The 17,696-nt window shown below is 47.7% G+C and overlaps 2 annotated features.

Moving 5' to 3' along the window:
• Positions 7,111 to 7,405: a silencer, noted in NCBI's record as "tiled region #1899; K562 Repressive non-DNase unmatched - State 21:Repr". NCBI's record gives its function as "represses a minimal TATA promoter and a strong SV40 promoter by Sharpr-MPRA in K562 cells {active_cell/tissue: K562}" and the evidence as "EXISTENCE:reporter gene assay evidence [ECO:0000049][PMID:27701403]".
• Positions 10,996 to 12,195: an enhancer, noted in NCBI's record as "BRD4-independent group 4 enhancer chr13:99437954-99439153 (GRCh37/hg19 assembly coordinates)". NCBI's record gives its function as "activates an origin of replication core promoter dependent on BRD2, P300/CBP, MED14 and CDK7 cofactors, and independent of BRD4, by STARR-seq in HCT116 cells {active_cell/tissue: HCT116}" and the evidence as "EXISTENCE:reporter gene assay evidence [ECO:0000049][PMID:35650434]".

A 17,696-nucleotide genomic window follows, 5' to 3' on the forward strand; every position in this document is an offset into this window, starting at 1 on the left:
GGAGAAGGCAAAGCACTCAGGCTTGGTTTTCTGCAGGTGGGAAAGGACCACACAGAGGCCAGACCCCTTCAGACGTGCCTGCTCCCCACACAGCCGGCTTGGGAGCCAGGTGGCCATTTTCCCATGTGAAGGAGAATATTTCCCTCCTCATTCAGGGCATCTGGGGTTGGGGGCCAGGACCTCCTCTGTCCCTGCTTCTCCTACATCCATCTGTCCAATGGATGCCAAGCTTCGACTGGTTGCCAGGCATGGGGCTGGGCCCCAGGAGAACCGGAGCAAGGACGAGACCTCTTCTCCATCCTGGTGAAGCTCTGTTCCTGGGCGGGTTAGTCAGGTACTCAGGACACCACAGAGGGCAGTGGGTGGAGGGCTTCAAAGTCATGCCCTCGGTAACTGGCCAGCAAGTGTTGCCACCAAGAGCCGTAAGGGGGCTTCAAAACGCTGGCACCTGCTACTGAAAGGTTTGTGGAATCTTCTTGAGATTAAAAATGAAAATGCTGCTGGCCTCTGTCTCTACACATTCTCTAGTGACTCTGTGTCTTCATCAGGGCAAATCATTCCTTGCAATAAATATCTTGAAGGTGTTCAATGAGCTGGCTAGTTAGAGCTTCTCTGGAGCCCTGTGTTCGAGTGGGACACTTGACTTTTGCTGTCAGGCCCCTCTTGGCATTGGGGTCACAGGGAGCAGTGATTCTCACACCCTACTGTGCAAAGGAATCCCCTGGGGCTTGTTGGAATGCAGACTTGCGCTCGGTGGCTCTGGGTGTGGACGAGGACCCTCTGCCCGCAAGCTCCCAAGTACTTGTCTGTTCGCGGCTGCTGGGCTGCAGGTCACCCCTTGACCAACAAGAGCTTAGACGGAGGCTTCTCCGCCGTGGCTGTACTGCTGTCCTGGACGATCTCTGTCTGTTGTGGGGGCTGTCCCGTGCACTGTGACATGTTCAGCAGCATCCCAGCCCTCCACCCACAGGGTTACAGTAGCACCCCCACCCTCAACCATGACAACCAAAAATGTCCGCAGACGTTTTCGTTTGCATCCCCTGGTGGACTGGGGCATGGGGGCGGGGTGTTGAGAACCACCGATTAGTAGACTTTCAAAGACTCTCCCAAATCCAGTTTTTTTGTGATCAAAAGTCCACATCAAATCCTCTTAGTTGGAAAACACGCATCACTCTAAGGCTGAAAAAGATGACTCCACAGCTGAGCTCTAAATGTCCTCTTAAAAATATAAAATCCCAGATCAACCTGTCTTCACAATGGCCGCATGTAGCAGCCCCTCCACAAAGACTGGGTACAGTGGCATTTGCACCTTCTAAGGGACCCTGGAGTGCGGCCTGACTGAGAGAGTGGATGGGGAGGGGATGCCGGGTCTCTGGCTCAGGTGTTGCGTGTTGGGAGCCCACTAGGTAGAACAAGTGTCCTCCACCCAGCTCAGCTCCGGAGCCTTCCTCGAAAGGCAAGAGGTCAATTCATCTTCTGCCTCAGCAGAATCGTCCCTTCCTTTACAAGGGGACTTTGCTCCATGATCTGACAGACCTGGGAAGTGTGTGGAGGTTTTACACGATGACTCAGTGCACATCAGAGTCAGAGACAGGACGGCCGAACACTGATTCCAGAGATAGGCATGTGGGCCCCGCCCGGGAAGGAGAGCTGCCTGGGAGATGGGGAGCTGCAAGAGAGCACCCAGAGGGGTAAATTTGCACAAGGCCACTGCGTACACTGGTACGTGCTTCCTTGAAAATGTGACATTTTCAGGCAGGGCGCGGTGGCTCAAGGCCGGGCACGGTGGCTCACGCCTATAATCCCAGCACTTTGGGAGGCCAAGGCGGATGGATCACGAGGTCAGAAGTTCAAGACCAGCCTGGCCAACATGGTGAAACCCCATCTCTACTAAAAATACAAAAATTAGCGGGGCGTGGTGGTGCATGCCTGTAATCCCAGCTACTTGGGAGGCTGAAGCAGGAGAATCGCTTGAACTCAGGAGGTGGAGGTTGCAGGGAGCCGAGACCGTGCCACTGCACTCCAGCCTGGCAACAGAGTGAGACTCAGTCTCAAAAAAAAAAAAAAAAAGAAAATGTGACATTAGTTTTCATTGCTCTGAAAGAAAAGCGAGACTGTTTCAACAGTTGGGTAAATTACTGTGCTTCCAGTAACAAAGACAGGTTTTCAGATGCAAAGTGACATGTACAACTACTGTGGAGAAATGTCCATCAGACGGAGTGCTAAGTGGGGACAGTGTGCCACCACTGAGCCAAGAATGGAGGAGATGAATGTGTGTGTGATATGGAAAATAAATGGAAGGAGAATTCAAAACCTTTCAAATTTGTTTTATATAAGGAGTAGAGAAGAATAATGAAAACAAGCACAAAAGTTAGACTTTTTTTTTCTTTTTTGAGACAGGCTCTTGCTCTGTAGCCCAGGCTGGAGTGCAATGGCACAATCACAGATTACCGTAGCCTCCACCTCCCAGCTCAATTGATCCTCCCACCTCAGCCTCCTGAGTAACTGGGACTACAGGCACACATCACCTCACTTGGCTAATTTTTGTATTTTTTGGAGAGATGGGGGTTTTGCCATGTTGCCCAGGCTGGTCTCAAACTCCTGGGCTCAAGCAATCCTCCTGCCTGAGCCTCTCAAAGTGCTGAGATTACAGCTGTGAGCCACCACACCCAGCCTAGACTTTTTTACATCTGTTTTCTCGCATAATTGGCTTTGGAGTCATGAATTTATAAAAAATTAATAGAACTTGTTTTTGTTTTTTTGAGATGGAGTTTCACTCTTTGTTGCCCAGGCTGGAGTGCAGTGGCGCGATCTCGGCTCACCACAACCTCCACCCCCCAGGTTCAAGCGATTCTCCTGCCTCAGCCTCCCAAGTAGCTGGGATTACAGGCATGTGCCACTACGCCCAGCTAATTTTGCATTTTTAATAGAAACGGGCTTTCTCCATGTTGGCCAGGCTGGTCTCAAACTCCTGACCTCAGGTGATCTACCTGCCTTAGCCTCCCAAAGTGCTGGGATTACAGGCATGAGCCACAGCGCCGGGCCCTAATAGACTGTTTTTTAGAGGAGTTTTGGGTTCACAGCAAAATTGAGGGGAAAGTACAGAGAATTCTCACATTCTCCCACTCTTCAACCCCCAAAACACCTTCCCCCACTGTCAACGACCTGCACTGGCCATACATTGTCGGACTCCATCAACCACGATAAACACATCATTGTCAGCGGGAGTCCGTCATTTACATGCAGACTAGCCCTTGAGTTTAACAAATGTATAATGACACATATCCACCATTATAGTATCATATGGAGTAGTTGCCCTAAAACCCTGCTGAGATGGTGCTGGTATTCTTATTCTGAGGTTGTCAGGTATCTAACGTGGAATGAAGCAATAGGTCATTAGTGATATTCTATCATTCCTGATGTCCCAAAAGCCGTGAATATCAGCGTGAGAGAAAGGGGATACAGACGGAAGGTGGAAGAGGAACCGCTGCCATCTTGGATATGAGTTAGAAGTGTGGTTAGGAGCTCCTGGGCTAGGAAGTACTTTATTTATTTATTTGTTTGTTTGTTTGTTTATTTATGAGACAGAGTCTCACTCTGTACTCACCCAGGCTGGAGTGCAGTAGCGTGATCTCGGCTCACTGCAACCTCCGCCTCCTGGGTTCAAGCGATTCTCCTGCCTCAGCCTCCCTTGTAGCTGGGATTACAGGTGCCTGTCACCATGCCCAGCTAATTTTTGTATTTTTAGTAGAGATGGGGTTTCACCATGTTGGCCAGGCTAGTCTTGATTGAACTCCTGACCTCAGGTGATCCGCCCACCTCAGCCTCCCAAAGTGCTGGCATTACAGGCATGAGCCACTGTGCCCAGCAGAAGTACTTTATAGATGTGTATTTCCTAGCTCTTCCACTGTAAAAGCTTAAAATCCATGACCAACCCTCAGCCATGTCCAGAGGGTGGCTTGCAAATTTCTAACTTAAAAAAACCCCCTGGAATCCTTGGAGAATGAGCTGATTCCATGTTTGGGCCAGGAAATGTACAAGATGAGCCACAACATCATATCCAATAGCAAAGATGTTCTCAAAGACTGTGAGGGTCAAGACAACAGGGCCCAGTAGCAACCTGGAGAAGCACACACCGGCCAAGACGAGACCATTTAAACATCAATAAAAATAAGTCAGTGCAACACATCAGATACGTTTAAATCAATTAAGTTCATTCTGGCACGAAAGGGAAAAACAAACTCGTCACTGCGGGAGATGCAGGGAACTGACTCATTGTTTTGCAAACTGGAAATTAAAAGAAAACACTTACGTATTCATGCTGTGGTGGCTGTACTGGTGGCTGACCAAATGGTATAGATAAGGGGATTTTTTCCTTACCAGGAGCATTCCAGTTAATAGGTGAAGGCAGACATCACGATTTTGTAGCCTGTAATCAATGAAATCGAACATCATAACAGCCCCACAAGACATATCTGCCTTTAGATGGAAGATTACAGCACCATCTATCAATATTATCAGTAATCTCGCCAAAAAAATCCAAATCTAAATTTGGTGAAGCCTCTAGATCCAATGATCCATTTATAGGAAATACAAAGGAGAGAGGAAAGTGTTAAGAGACAGACTCTGGCCAGGCGTGGTGGCTCACATCTGTAATCCCAGTACTTTGGGAGGCTGAGGCAGGTGGATCACTTGAGGTCAGGAGTTCAAGACCAGCCTGGGCAACATGGCGAAACCCCATCTCTACTAAAAATACAAAAAATTAGCCAGGTGTTGTGGCGCACACCTGTAATCCCAGGTACTTGGGAGGCTGAGGGAGGAGAATCGCTTGAACCCGGGAGGCAGAGGTTTCAGTGAGCTGAGATTGCACCACTGCACTCCAGCCTGGGGACAGTGTGAGACTGTCTACGAGAAAAAAAAAAGAGAGAGAGAGACAGACTCTAGGGATGCCATCTGGGAAACCCAGCAGGAAACCCCGAAGGAAAAACACCCCATTTTCTTCAACAAATACATTTCAGGGAACTCAAAGGTGGAGGGGAAATTTATAGGTTAGAAAAGGCTTAAAAGAAATACCTACTCAAAATATGAGTACTGATGAGAAAACTGTGAAAAAAATTACTATGGCATCAAAAGACAGTTGGAGATAACACTGACTGGAGGTTTGATGACATCAGTGGATAACTGTGAATTTTAAAAGTCAAGCGAGTATCCTTATCTCTTAGAGAAATGCCTTGAAATATGAGGGGATGGAATGAGGTGGTGTCTAGGATGTGCTTCAAGTCACACAGCAGAGGAACTAGCCAAGCATTGATCATGGCTGAAGCTGGATGGTTCATGGGGAGGCATTGGGCAGTTTTGTCTCTTTTTTATTTCTATTTATTTGTTTCATTATGTGTGTGTGTGTGTGTGTGTGTGTGTGTGTGTGTATACATATATAATATAGTTACACATATATATACACATATATTATACATATATACATATATATATATATTTTTTGAGATGGAGTCTCACTCTGTTTCCCAGGCTGGAGCGCAGTGGTGCGATCTTGGCTCACTGCAACCTCCGCCTCTTGGGTTCAAGTCATTCTCCTGCCTCAGCCTCCTGAGTAGCTGGGATTACAGGTGCACACCATCATGCCTGGGTAATTTTTGTGTTTTTAGAGACGAGGTTTTGTTATGTTGCCCAGACTGATCTCGAACTCCTGACCTCAAGTGATCTGCCTGCCTCGGCCTCCCAAAGTGCTGGGATTACAAGCATGAGCCACCATGCCCAGCCTTTCTTTTTTATATGTTTGAAATTCTGTATAATAAAAAAATAGAGGAAATGCATAGATCAGAGTCAAGCACATATGAGAATCCTAAGCTCCAGAAGAAGTGGTGTCTTGGGCTTTGTTTGGAATTTCCTTTCTGGATCGCTCACTATGTACCAGCTTTGTGATTTATAACCAGGAACGGAAGCAACAAAGAGCATTTAGGATGGCTTGAATTTGGAAGAATAGCATGATGGTTACACATGCAGACTCTGAAGCCAAGCTCATAGTTTCAAACCCCAGCTCCTAGCTGTGTGACCTTGGTCCCACTGTATACAATTGTATAGCCAATTTTCTTCCACATACCTCATCCTTATATGATGGTGACATCAGCTGGGCCAAGAAAGACTTCATTTGTTGAGTGCTTTGCTTTCATGCATGTGGAATTTCAGATTTGAATCCATTTCCAAGTGGAGTTATTAAGTAGACAGGGAGACTAACAGTCCGGAGTTTGAAGAGGTCTGTGCCAGAGATGTACATTTCAAATTCATCACCTAGATGATGGATGTCAACATACAGTTAGCATAGACATGGAGGGGGGTCATCACATAGATGGTGAATGTAGTCATATAGTTGGCATATAGATGATGGATGTTGTCACATAGATGATCTATGTCATCACATAGATGATGGACATCACTCTGTCGCTCAGGACGTCAACGCTGTCATCACCTTGATGATGATCATCATCATGTAGTCAACACATAGACAATGGACATCATCGTGGTCGTTACATAGACAATTGACATCTTCATGGTCATTACGTAGACAATGGACATCATCGTGGTCATTACATAGATAATGGACGTCATCACAGTCATCACATAGATGATGGATGTCATCATAGTCATCACACAGATGAAGGACATCGTCGTATGGTCAGCATATGAATGAGATCATTCAAGCCACAAGAAGTGAGCGTTGCACCCAGGGGACCCGGGAAATAAGACACTGGGCAGCAGCACAGGAGGAACCCCTGTGGTGTGAGGGAGGAAGGAGAGGTGTGTCCTTCCCGGCAGCCAAGTGAGGACGGTGCTCAGGGCGGAGCAAGCTTTGGCTCCCACACTGCTGCTGGTCAAGTGAGGCAAGCACTGAGGACAAGGCCCTGGAAAACTTGGCAAGAGCATCACGGGTTGATGGGGGAATCCGTGCTCCACGCATAGCCGTGACGGCTGTGACCTGGCTGGACACTGTGATGGTGAGGGGCATGGAGCTTTGGCAAGGACTCACTTTCTGTCAGAGGACAGGAGAGTTGAGGTCATAGGAGCATGGTCGGAACGTGGGTACCTCAGAGCGGGCCCCCAGGACCAGACAGGCTAGCTTTCTGGGTGCCTTGTTGGGATTGAGGACCTCCCACCCATCATGGCCACGGCCTCTCCCTAGAGGTGCATGGGAGGCACAGGTACAGGCTGCTGTTGGGGCTCTGGGGAAAGAAGGGACCCACGACCTGCACCTTATCACCCACTGCCTGCCACACTAAAGTAGAAGCTTCCTCTGACTCCAGGATTCCCAAGGAGGTGTGTGGTGGCCCAGGAAGAGCAACTGCCATGTGGACAACTCAGGAGGAATGGAGAGCAAATCCCTTCTGTCCCACATACACTCAAGGAAGCTGACCCGCTCAAGTAATGGAGGTCGGGGGAAGGGGGTTGAGAACCTGGACTCCACAGGCAGGGGGTCTACACTGGCACTGGTGAAGCAGGCAGAGCCTCAGGCACCTCCGGCCGCATCATTGTGTCCCGGGGACCCAGCAGCCCAAAAGGGCTACACGGACTTTCCTTGCAGAGCCACACAGAGGATTTCTTTCCTCTACTCAGTTCTAAAACAACGTCTCTTGCTCCCTTCAGTAAGGCGACCCCTCCCATGGCACAGCTAATATGTGTGAGTAGAAAAATAACAGTGACACAATCCACACAAGATCCATGGAGCAGATTTATCTTAGGATGGAATTTTTCAATGACACGTGTTAATGTGTGTGAACCTCCTTTGGTGGAATTTCACGGGGTGAAATAGAAAAGGACAAGGAAATTCTGAGAGGTGCACGAGGCTTTTTGGGCATGGTAATGAGACATCCTTTCTCAAAGCCCACCCTGTCTCCAGGTAAATCTTCACCAAGACAGTAGGAATAATGGGTGAAGGAAGTTACAGTGGCTCAAAACTACGGTTCTCACTCCACCAGGGGCTCTTACTATCTGCAAAGTAGAGCCCATTTGGGGGTGGGAATTGGAGGAAGTGGGTGCTCTGGACCAGCTGTGCAGAGCTCCTGTTGCAGAGACAGCTGTGGACCCAAGGCTCACGTGGGTGGGCAGAGCAAAGATGGCAGAAACCTGTTGCTCAATTTTTATCTTAAGGAAAATGAGCTCTGAGTCACGTTGAAAATCTGGTAACTCTAGGTGCTCCTACACAGTATTTACCGGGAACCAAAACTTCTAAAGTTGAGGCAACCTCAACTATGTGGGTCAAGAAACAACAGGAAACTCAGAAGACAGAAAATGCTGGAATGGAGCCAGTGAAGTGTCGATGGCAGTTATCTGGAAGGGATGAGGGTTGGAGGACTGTGGATATTTAAATTCTCATTTCTATTTTTTGGTATTTTATACACATTCTACTAGGAGCAAATAGTGCTTTTATAATTAGAAAAAAGTACAGAGGCTATTTTTTATAAAGAGAGGAGGGGGAAAGTTTACTGGATTTGCCTAGAACATGAGATTGTGACTGGGTGGAGATAACAGTGATAAATTCCTCTATTTTAAGCTACACAAATCTAGGAAGTCTACAACATCTAGAAATGTAGGAAATCGGAGTGTAGAGCCTGGCCATGGATTCTGTTCTTCATGTTTGAAATGTGCACGTTGAAAGAAAATTATCATTTTAAATTCTGTACAGTGTGTAACTTTAAAAAAGTACTGTATCTTCTAAACTTCAAACATTTTTTTAATCTACTTTTGAAAGTGTTTCCCTTTTTCTCTTGGCTGCCAGGATGCTCAGAGCTAAATTTGGGGCTTAGTCTGTATTGTTAAGGATAACAAACAACCATCTCTTCCCTTCTTTCCTTAATGTCCATTATTTTATGCTTGCTTGAATGATTTTATTGATTATGTTTTTATTACAAGCCCCTACAATCCTTTTGGCTGGGGATATAGTAATAGTAAATGATGTTATTTGACAGAGAAACTGTGAAGTCAAGAGAAACAGGGATTTTCCTCAGTTATGGGTGTCAAAGCTGGAGCTCAGATGGTGTTGGACTCCACACTTGGGCCACTGAGCTAGAATCCAGCCTCTCAGACTCCTCATCCAGTGCTCCTTTCACACTGCCAAGCTAAGCAGAGGACATTGGGTGGCTGTCTGTGACAGCTTATGACAGATGGTGAGAGAGGGGCCATATTACCTCCCACTCACTTCCGGTCATGCCCACCTGGAAAGGTGGGAAGTCATTTACCAGGCAATGTGGGCCCTGCTGTTGCCCCACTCCTGGAAGCACCTGCTCAGAACCAGTCGGACGGGGCTGCCACAGCCAACGGTGACAATATTTCCCAATCTTGGTTTCAGAGCAAGGCTAGTTCCTTCAGAAACTTGTTGTCCTCATCCTGTCTTGGTTTGGTGATGTTTCTGTTCAAACCTCTGTCTCTCTAAGGATCTGAGTCTCCCCACATGTCCTGGAGCACCATGGCCCCATCCCCTTGTGTGGCATGGGGTCTGGCTGTGTTAGTCCGCTCGGCTGCCACAACACAGCTCCACAGGCTGTGGTTTAAGCAGCAGACGTCACTGCCTCACGGTTCTGGAAGCCGAAGTCCGAGATTAAGGCGTCAGCAGGGGCAGCTGCTTCTGAGGGCCATGAGGAAGGGATCTGTTCCAGGCCTCTCTCCTTGGCCTGTGGACGGCCATCCTCCCCCTGTGTCTTCACTCACCTTCCTGCTGTGTGAGTCTGTGTTCAGATCTCCTCTTCTCACAAGGATACCAGTCCTGTTGGATTGGGTTCCACTCTAGTGACCTCATGTTGACTTAATTACCTCTCTAAAGACCCTACTCCAAATCCAGTCACTTTCTGAGGTGCTGGGGGTTAGGACTTCAATACACGAATTTGGTGGGGGCACAGTGGAGCCTGCAGGACTTGCCCCTATCTCTGCAGAGGCCGGTGTGGCCTGGAGGTGCTGAGCACCTTGGCCGACCAGGCCCCAGGTCAGAGGAATCTCCCCGTGTACCGTGTGACTACGCCAACTTTGCCCATCTCTCTGCCCATGGTTTCTTCACAGGAAGCCACCGCCCACATGGCAGCATTGTTCTGAGGATTAAGGGTCACACTGGAAAGTGCTGGCACCTGAGAGCAGCGTAGGAAGAGGGTGTGGTGAGTGTCCCTGACACAGAGGGATCAGCCTTTGTGAGGAGGAGGCCCTGCCTGCTCTCCTCCTGAGCTGATGGGTCAGTCACACCAGGACAAAGGTCTGCCCGGGGCTGTGTGGGTTCCTCCTTCCTGAGCTGCACACCAGCATCTGCTGAACACCTTCTGGAGCTCAGCTCAGTGTCTCGTCCAGAGACACTGGTTCCCTTGGCTTCTCAGCAACTCTCGGATCTGGGCCTGGGTCTAACCTCAGCGGTGGTCTTGCCCATTTCTAGGGCCTCACAATTCAGCCTCATGTCTTCACCTGTGGCTCTTTTGCAAGGCTCAGAAAGCTCTAGGGTCAGTTCCAGATGACTCCCACCAGCATGCCAGTAGGAGCCACCACCCCCTCTCAGCCAGCGCCACCATATTCCAGGCAAATTCCAACTGACACAGACTTCAAGGAACGATTGTAGCCGTTGTTCTTGCTTCTTCCAAATGGAAGAGTGCATTATTGGGGTCCCTTCTAGCACGCATTTCATTCCCCACCGTGAGGCAGGGGATGCCCGGGCTTTCCCCTGACTTGCAGGGGGAGAGACAGGAGTGAAAATGAATCTGCTCAAGTCACTTGTGGACAAGAAGGTGCAAGCTCCAGACTCCGGTGCTGCGTCCTCATCCGGTGTATGCGCAGCATGACAAGCCCGGACCAGCAGCAGATATCAGGCCAGCCTGTGCCAGGAAACCTCCTACATCAAGGGTGCAGGCTCAGCCCACTGGGGTGGGCAACCTGCGCCCCTTCCATCACTGCGTCTGGCTAAGCGGGCAAGTAGACAGCCACCCAGGTGGGGCAGGTGATGGCTGTACCCCTGCTCCTGGCTGGAGTTGCTAACCGAGGACCCTTGGGAGCCACCCTCTGCCACCAGGGATGAACCGCAGCCAAGGAGGCAGGACAGGGGCCCAGTCTGTGTGGTCTCTGGAGTATTTCTCAGAGAGCATTTGTGGGACCCTGGCCGCGGGCCAGGCTCTAGAGGAGCAGGTGTGTCTGTCAGTGGATTTGGGGAAATAGTCATTAGCAGGGACCTGTCTTAGAAGCAAAGTTCATCCAAGAGGCTTTGAGAGGTACTAAAGGAGAAGCTGCTCAATCTAACTTCTTATAACAAGGAAACCCAACCTCCTTTTAATTTTTTGTCCCTCAATGTCCCTGTTAACATCCCATGTCCTTGGAACTGGTAATGTTCCCTAGAACGCCTGTGGGAAAACATGGGTCAAAGGGAGTATTGAGCAAGAATTAATGCTGAATTCTCTCCTCTTCCCTTATTTGTGCTGAGTCCTGGTTAAAAAATAATAACAATAATAACATTTACTCAGGGCTTACCATGAGCCAGTCGGCAGTGCTTAGCCCATTTCCTCCTCGGGACCGCTCCAGGTGCAGCAGACTATTACCATCTCATTTGACGCATGAGGGAACTGAGGCTAAGGAAAGTCGAATCACTTGCCTGAGGTGAAACAAGCAGTAAGTGTGGGATGAATGAAGACACAACTCACCCTTGGTGGCTTAATTTCACGTCTTTTTCTGTTTGCTGAAGTCTAAATAATATTGTTAAGTTGTACCAGGCAGATTCCACAGGCTGTGAGTGCAGAGTGCACTGTAACCAGAACATTCGTCAGAACACCTTCAAAGACCACCACGAACCCAATACAGATGCCAAGGCTTAAAGGAGATGAAATAATGAGCTTTGCCGGTTCCCTCGTGTTATTTTGTGGAGAGCAGTTCGGTGATGCTGGTCAAATTTAAAATGTGCCTTCCCTTTGACCCAGCAATTCCGCTGCTAAGAATGTACCCTTTGGAGACAGAGACACGTGTGCAAAGGTGAAAATATAATTTGTGCACGTCTTTTCTCTCTACACCTTATCCCTCTCTCTCCTTTCTTTTAGTGGATGACCCTGCTTTTCATTTCCCAAAGAAAACAGAAGCAACCAGCAGAGAACCGCATACCCTTCAGCCTGTGTTCAGCAGAGCCTCCTTCCTTTCTGAGGCTCCAGACCCAGCTCGGGCACCCCTGACCTCTAGTGCCCAATTTCCTCCCTCCTGCCTGTTGGAAGACATCACTCTTTTTTGCATGATCAGTTTTCTGCCTTTCTACCTGGCTATTTTCATCAGTCTGTACACCTGCTGTCATTCTGCTATTGAAAAAACCTGAGTCCTCTCTTTACCTGACTTAAAACTTTCCTCAATATCATCAAATTCTCCACTCCTCTTTATAAAGCAAAACATGAAGTGCTCATGCTCATACTCAGCGTTCCCATCCTTCCTGAAAGCCACTCCCATCAGCCTTTGGTCCATACCACTCTCTCAAGGGCTCCCTCCAACCACCTCCTGATACGGTTTGGCTTTGTGTCCCGACCCAAATCTTTTTTCGAATTGTAATCCCTGTGTGTCAGGGAGGGGCCTGGTGGGAGCCGATTGGATCATGGGGGAGATTTCCCCCTTGCTGTTCTCGTGATAGCCAGTGAGTTCTCACGAGATCTGGCGGTTTGAAAGTGTGTGGCATGTCCCCCTTTGCTCTCTCTTCTGCCGCCATGTGAAGAAGGTACTTGCTTCCCCTTCACCTTCTGCCGTGATTTTAAGTTTCCCGAGGCCTCCCCAGCCATGCTTCCTGTGCAGCCTGCAGAACTGTCAGTCAATTAAACCTCTTTCTTCATGAATTACCCAGTCTCAGGTGGTTCTTTGTAGCAGTGTGAGAATGGACTCATACACCTCCACTTTGCCAAATCCAACGGCAGATTCTTGGGCCTCATTTTATTCTCATTGGATTCATTGGGTCACTGCCTTTTTGAACTACTTTATTCACGTGGCTTTTGAACGCCCGTCTCTTGGCCCTTCCAGACCTCTGCTTCTCTCTCATGGTCTGCATTGTTGGTTCCTCCTCCTCTCTGTGGCCTCTCAACACTGCAGAACCCCCACGCTCTGCCATGGACCTCTCCTCTGTCCGCACTCACCAGGGCCCCAGCTGGTCCTCATAGCTTTACTATCATCTACATAGCAGCGTCTCCTCCAGCCCAGACGCTCCCCTGAATTCGACTTCCAAATCCCCTGCACTCCTGACCACCCCACTCTCAGAGCCCTCTCAACCTTCACATGCCCAGAAGGGGGGCTGCTCACATCACTGCACCTTCCCAGTCTCCCTTTTCGCTCTCTCCATTCTTCCAGTGGTTGACCAAAATTTTGGATCCCCCCAACTCCTGTCCCTCCCCCTGTCCCTCTCCCCTAATCCAGTCCCCAGCACGTCCTGGCAGCACTCCCTTCTGTGTATCTTCAGAATCTAGTTCCTCTTCAGCCCCTGCACACCTGCACCCAACCTCAGCCCCCACCCCCGGGCCACAGCCACAGCTTCACCGTAAGCCCCGCTTCACCCCTTGCTCGCGGCAACCCCTTCTCCACAGAAGCCAACTGATCTTTGAAAAACCCTAAGCCTGGTCGTGTCAATTCTGTGTTCAAAACCTTCCAATTGATTTCCATTTTCGCATAAAACACAGAGTCCTGCCCAGGCCACCAGGGCCCTCTGGGGGTCACCTGCTGTTCCCTCTGCCCCCGTGCCTCCCCTCCCTTGGCATCTCTGTGAACAGCCGGCACCCACCTCTGTTCCCTCTGCTGAAACACCTTTCCCCTCAGTTCCCCCAAGGGGCTTGGCTCTCACTCATGTCCCTCTCCAGTGTCCCTGATCAGAGGCCTCCCTGGACCCCCCGCAGACTGGCCAATGGAAACCCCTAGAGAATTAAACATACATGCAGAAGTGTACCATCTTAACTATTTACAAGTGTACAGTTGTGAGGCGTTAAGTACACACACATTGTTGAACAACCATCACCACCACCCACTTCAGGACATTTTTCATCTTACCCAACTGAAACTCTGCACCCATTTAACACTCACTCCCCATTCCCCCTCCCCAGTGAGGCAGGAAAATAGGGTCTGGAGGCAGGGAACATAAGGCCAGCCGATTGATACTTCAGCTATGACAGGAAATATCCTGTCCATAGGGGGTACGCCGAGTCAATGATTTTGTAACCTGACTTCATCCTCTTCATTTACATAGGGCATACACCAAGTTGCCAGTGGAAACCCCTAGAGGGTATTTAAACCCCCACAAATTCTGTAACTGGGCTCTTGAGCCCCTATGCTCTGGCCTGCTCCCCCCACCCTCGCTGTGGAGTGTACTTTCATTTTCAATAAATCTCTGCTGTTGTTGCTTCATTCTTTCCTTGCTTTGTTTGTGCGTTTTGTCCAATTCTTTGTTCAAGACACCAAGAACCTGGACACCCTCCACCGGTGACAGCAGCAGCCCCCATTCTACTTTGTCTCTATGAATTTGCCTACTCTAGGTATCCATGTAAATGGAATCACATAATATCTATTCCTTGGTGTCTGGCTTATTTCACTTTGCGTGATATCTTCAAAGTTCACCCATGTTGTAGAATGTGTCAGAATTGTTTTCCTTTAAAAAGCTGAATCATGTAATAATTCCACTGTATTGAGACTCCTTTTTTTTAGTCCATTCATCCGTTGATGGACGCTTGGGTGGCTTGCACCTTTTGGCTGCTGTGAATAATGCTAGGAACATCCTGAATCTGTTCAAGTCTCTGCTTTCAGTTCTTTTGTTTTATACCCAGAAGTGGAATTGCTGGATCATACGGCAATTGTTGAGTTTTTTGAGGAACCTCCATAGCATTTTTCATAGTGGTAGCACCATTTTCCATTCCCATCGGCAGTGCACAGGGTTCCAGTTTCTCTACCTCCTCATCAGTGCATTTTGTTTTGTTTTTAAAATAATAGCCATAATAATAGGTGTGAAGGGGTGTTGGCCTTTTTTTGTCTTTGCCCATTAGCATTTCCCTGTGGTTAGTTTCTTCGGCTCCAAGTATAGGATGTATGAAGCAAAAAGAAAACCAGAGAATTCACAACTCATCACTCGCTGGACCCAAGGCCTCTTGTGGGTCTGCCTTCTTCACTCCACCTTCCAGGGTCTTCTGTTGATGCCTAGTGTGCAGGGATTTTAGCTGTACTTAGTGGGGACATAGGGAAAAGTGTGTCTACTTCACATTCCTAGACGTGGGCCCCGAAGTCTTTTTTAATACATAGGTTCCCTCTCCATCTCTTTTTTCTTGAAATTTGTTTATTGAAGAAACCAGCTTGTTTATCCTACAGAGCTTTCCACAGGATGGACTTTGCAGATTGCATTTCCCGCAGTGTCACTTAAGGTGTTCCTCTGTGCCCTGTGTGTCATGGAGAATTGGTAGGTAGAGTCAGAGGCTTGATCTGAGTCAGATGCAAGTTTTTGGCAAGACTACTTCATAGGTGGTGGTGTGTACTTCTACCAGGAGACACGAGAACGCTTTGTCTTTTTTGATAATATCAACTCCTTCAATGGTTACCAAGCAGTTTTCCTTTCATTATGAACTCATAGACTTAATTACATACTTTCAGTCCGTTGCAATTATTCTTTTTTTTTTTTTTTTTTTTTTTTTTGAGATGGGGTCTGGCTCTGTCACCCAGGCTGGAGTGCAGTGGCATGATTACTGCTCACTGCATTGCAATTATTCTTACTGATGCCCATCCTGCACCTTGCTAGTGGGAGCTTCTTTAAAATCCTTCTCACACGACCCCAGAGTGTTTTAATTTAACCCTGCTGGTCTCATAGACACATCTTTTCCTCTCCCATGTAAGAACCTGGTTCCCGATGATACCAACATAAATACTCATTTACTCTCTGGCAATAAACATAAAACAGTCTCAGAATAAAAACCAATGCAACACTTAAACAAAACAATTACTGAAACTAGTTTTTGTCAATAAACCACTAATAAATAAGTGGTTGCCACTTATTTGGCTGGGCGTGGTGGTTCACACCTGTAATCCCAGCACTTTGGGAGGCCGAGGTGGGCAGATCACTTGAGGTCAGAAGTTTGAGACCAGCCTGGCCAACATGGTGGAATTCTGTCTCTACCAAAAATTCAAAAATTAATAAATAATAAATAATTGATTGCCACTCTTCTTGACCTGAGGGCATATCACACTAAGAAAGCACAGTAAAACTGCTGTAGTTTAAACTTGTTTGAAATAATTCCTTTCTGTATGTTGCCAACATAATATTATATGGTTAGGTTCATTTATCACATTTTGCCTTCAATTTCTTAGAAATTTAAAAATTCATTTGCTAATGATGTAAATATTTGCATGGTTCTGAAGCCAAATCTATAAAGCAAATGATATTAGACAAGTTTATCTTCTAACCCTGTCCCCTGCACGTCATTCCCTCTCCCTTGCTGTAGGTAACAACTATAAAACATGTTAGTTGCCTATATACGTTACTGTTATTGTGCACTTACAAATTTGTTAAGAGGGTTGATCTCGTGTTAAATGTCCTTACCACAAAACAAGAGGGGAGCACGAGGAAACTTCTGGAAGTGGTGGATATATTTTACTGTCCTTTTTTTTTTTTTTTTTTTTTTTACCTCAGTTGTGGTGATGGTATCACAGGTGTATGCGTGTCTGCTCTCATCAAATTGTATACATTATTATTATTTTTTGAGACAGAGTCTCACTTGTCACCTAGGCTGGAGTACAGTGGTGTGATTTCGGCTCACTGCAACCTCTGCTTCCCGGGTTCAAGCGATTCTAGTTCCTCAGCCTCCCAAGTGGCTGGGATTACAGGCGCCCGCCAGCATGCCTGGCTAATTTTTGAATTTTTGGTAGAGACAGAATTCCACCATGTTGGCCAGGCTGGTCTCAAACTTCTGACCTCAAGTGATCTGCCCACCTCGGCCTCCCAAAGTGCTGGGATTACAGGTGTGCGCCACCGCGCCCAGCCAAATTGTATACATTAAATGAGCAGATTTTTACAGCTGCACAGTATTCCACTGTGTGGATGTACCATGGTTTATACAAACGATCCCCCATGGATGGAGATCACATTTTCTTGGAACGGAGTCACTGCTTTGAGTTATATGATGAAACCATTCTGGATGGCTGCTTCTCGTCACTCAGGTTACCTTGCCATCCTGCAGTCCTGCTCTCAGCAGCTGTCCTCTGTGCAAGGGTCTGGCTCTATTTGTTCCCACCTGGCTAATATCCAGGACAAGGTCTTAACTAGAGTTTTAATTCCAGTGTTGCCTCAAAAGCAGTGTTGTGAGGGGGAAGTAGGGAGTTCCTGTTTAATGAGTACTGAGTGTGAGTTTGGGAAGATGAGTATCTGGAGATGGAGGGTGGCGATGGTTGCACAATGAGAATCTACTTGATGCCAATGAACCTTACACTTAAAAATGGTTAAACTGGTACATTTTAGGCATATTTTACCTCAATTAAAAGAAAGAATAAGTAGGACCTATGGGAAAAAAAACCCCACATTTACTGCAGAATAGCAATACGAATTCCCAAGAAAATGCTCCACCTGGCTTTGTACATAACGAAGGGAAGATTTAATTGATACGGATGTTTCCCTGCAGGATGTTCCCAACTTAGAGATGGCTCCTCTCTCCACTCCTGTCATAAGCAAGGCTTGGTCGCCTTCC

The sequence above is a fragment of the Homo sapiens genome, chromosome 13 (assembly GCF_000001405.40).
Source record: "Homo sapiens chromosome 13, GRCh38.p14 Primary Assembly".
NCBI lineage: Eukaryota > Metazoa > Chordata > Mammalia > Primates > Hominidae > Homo > Homo sapiens.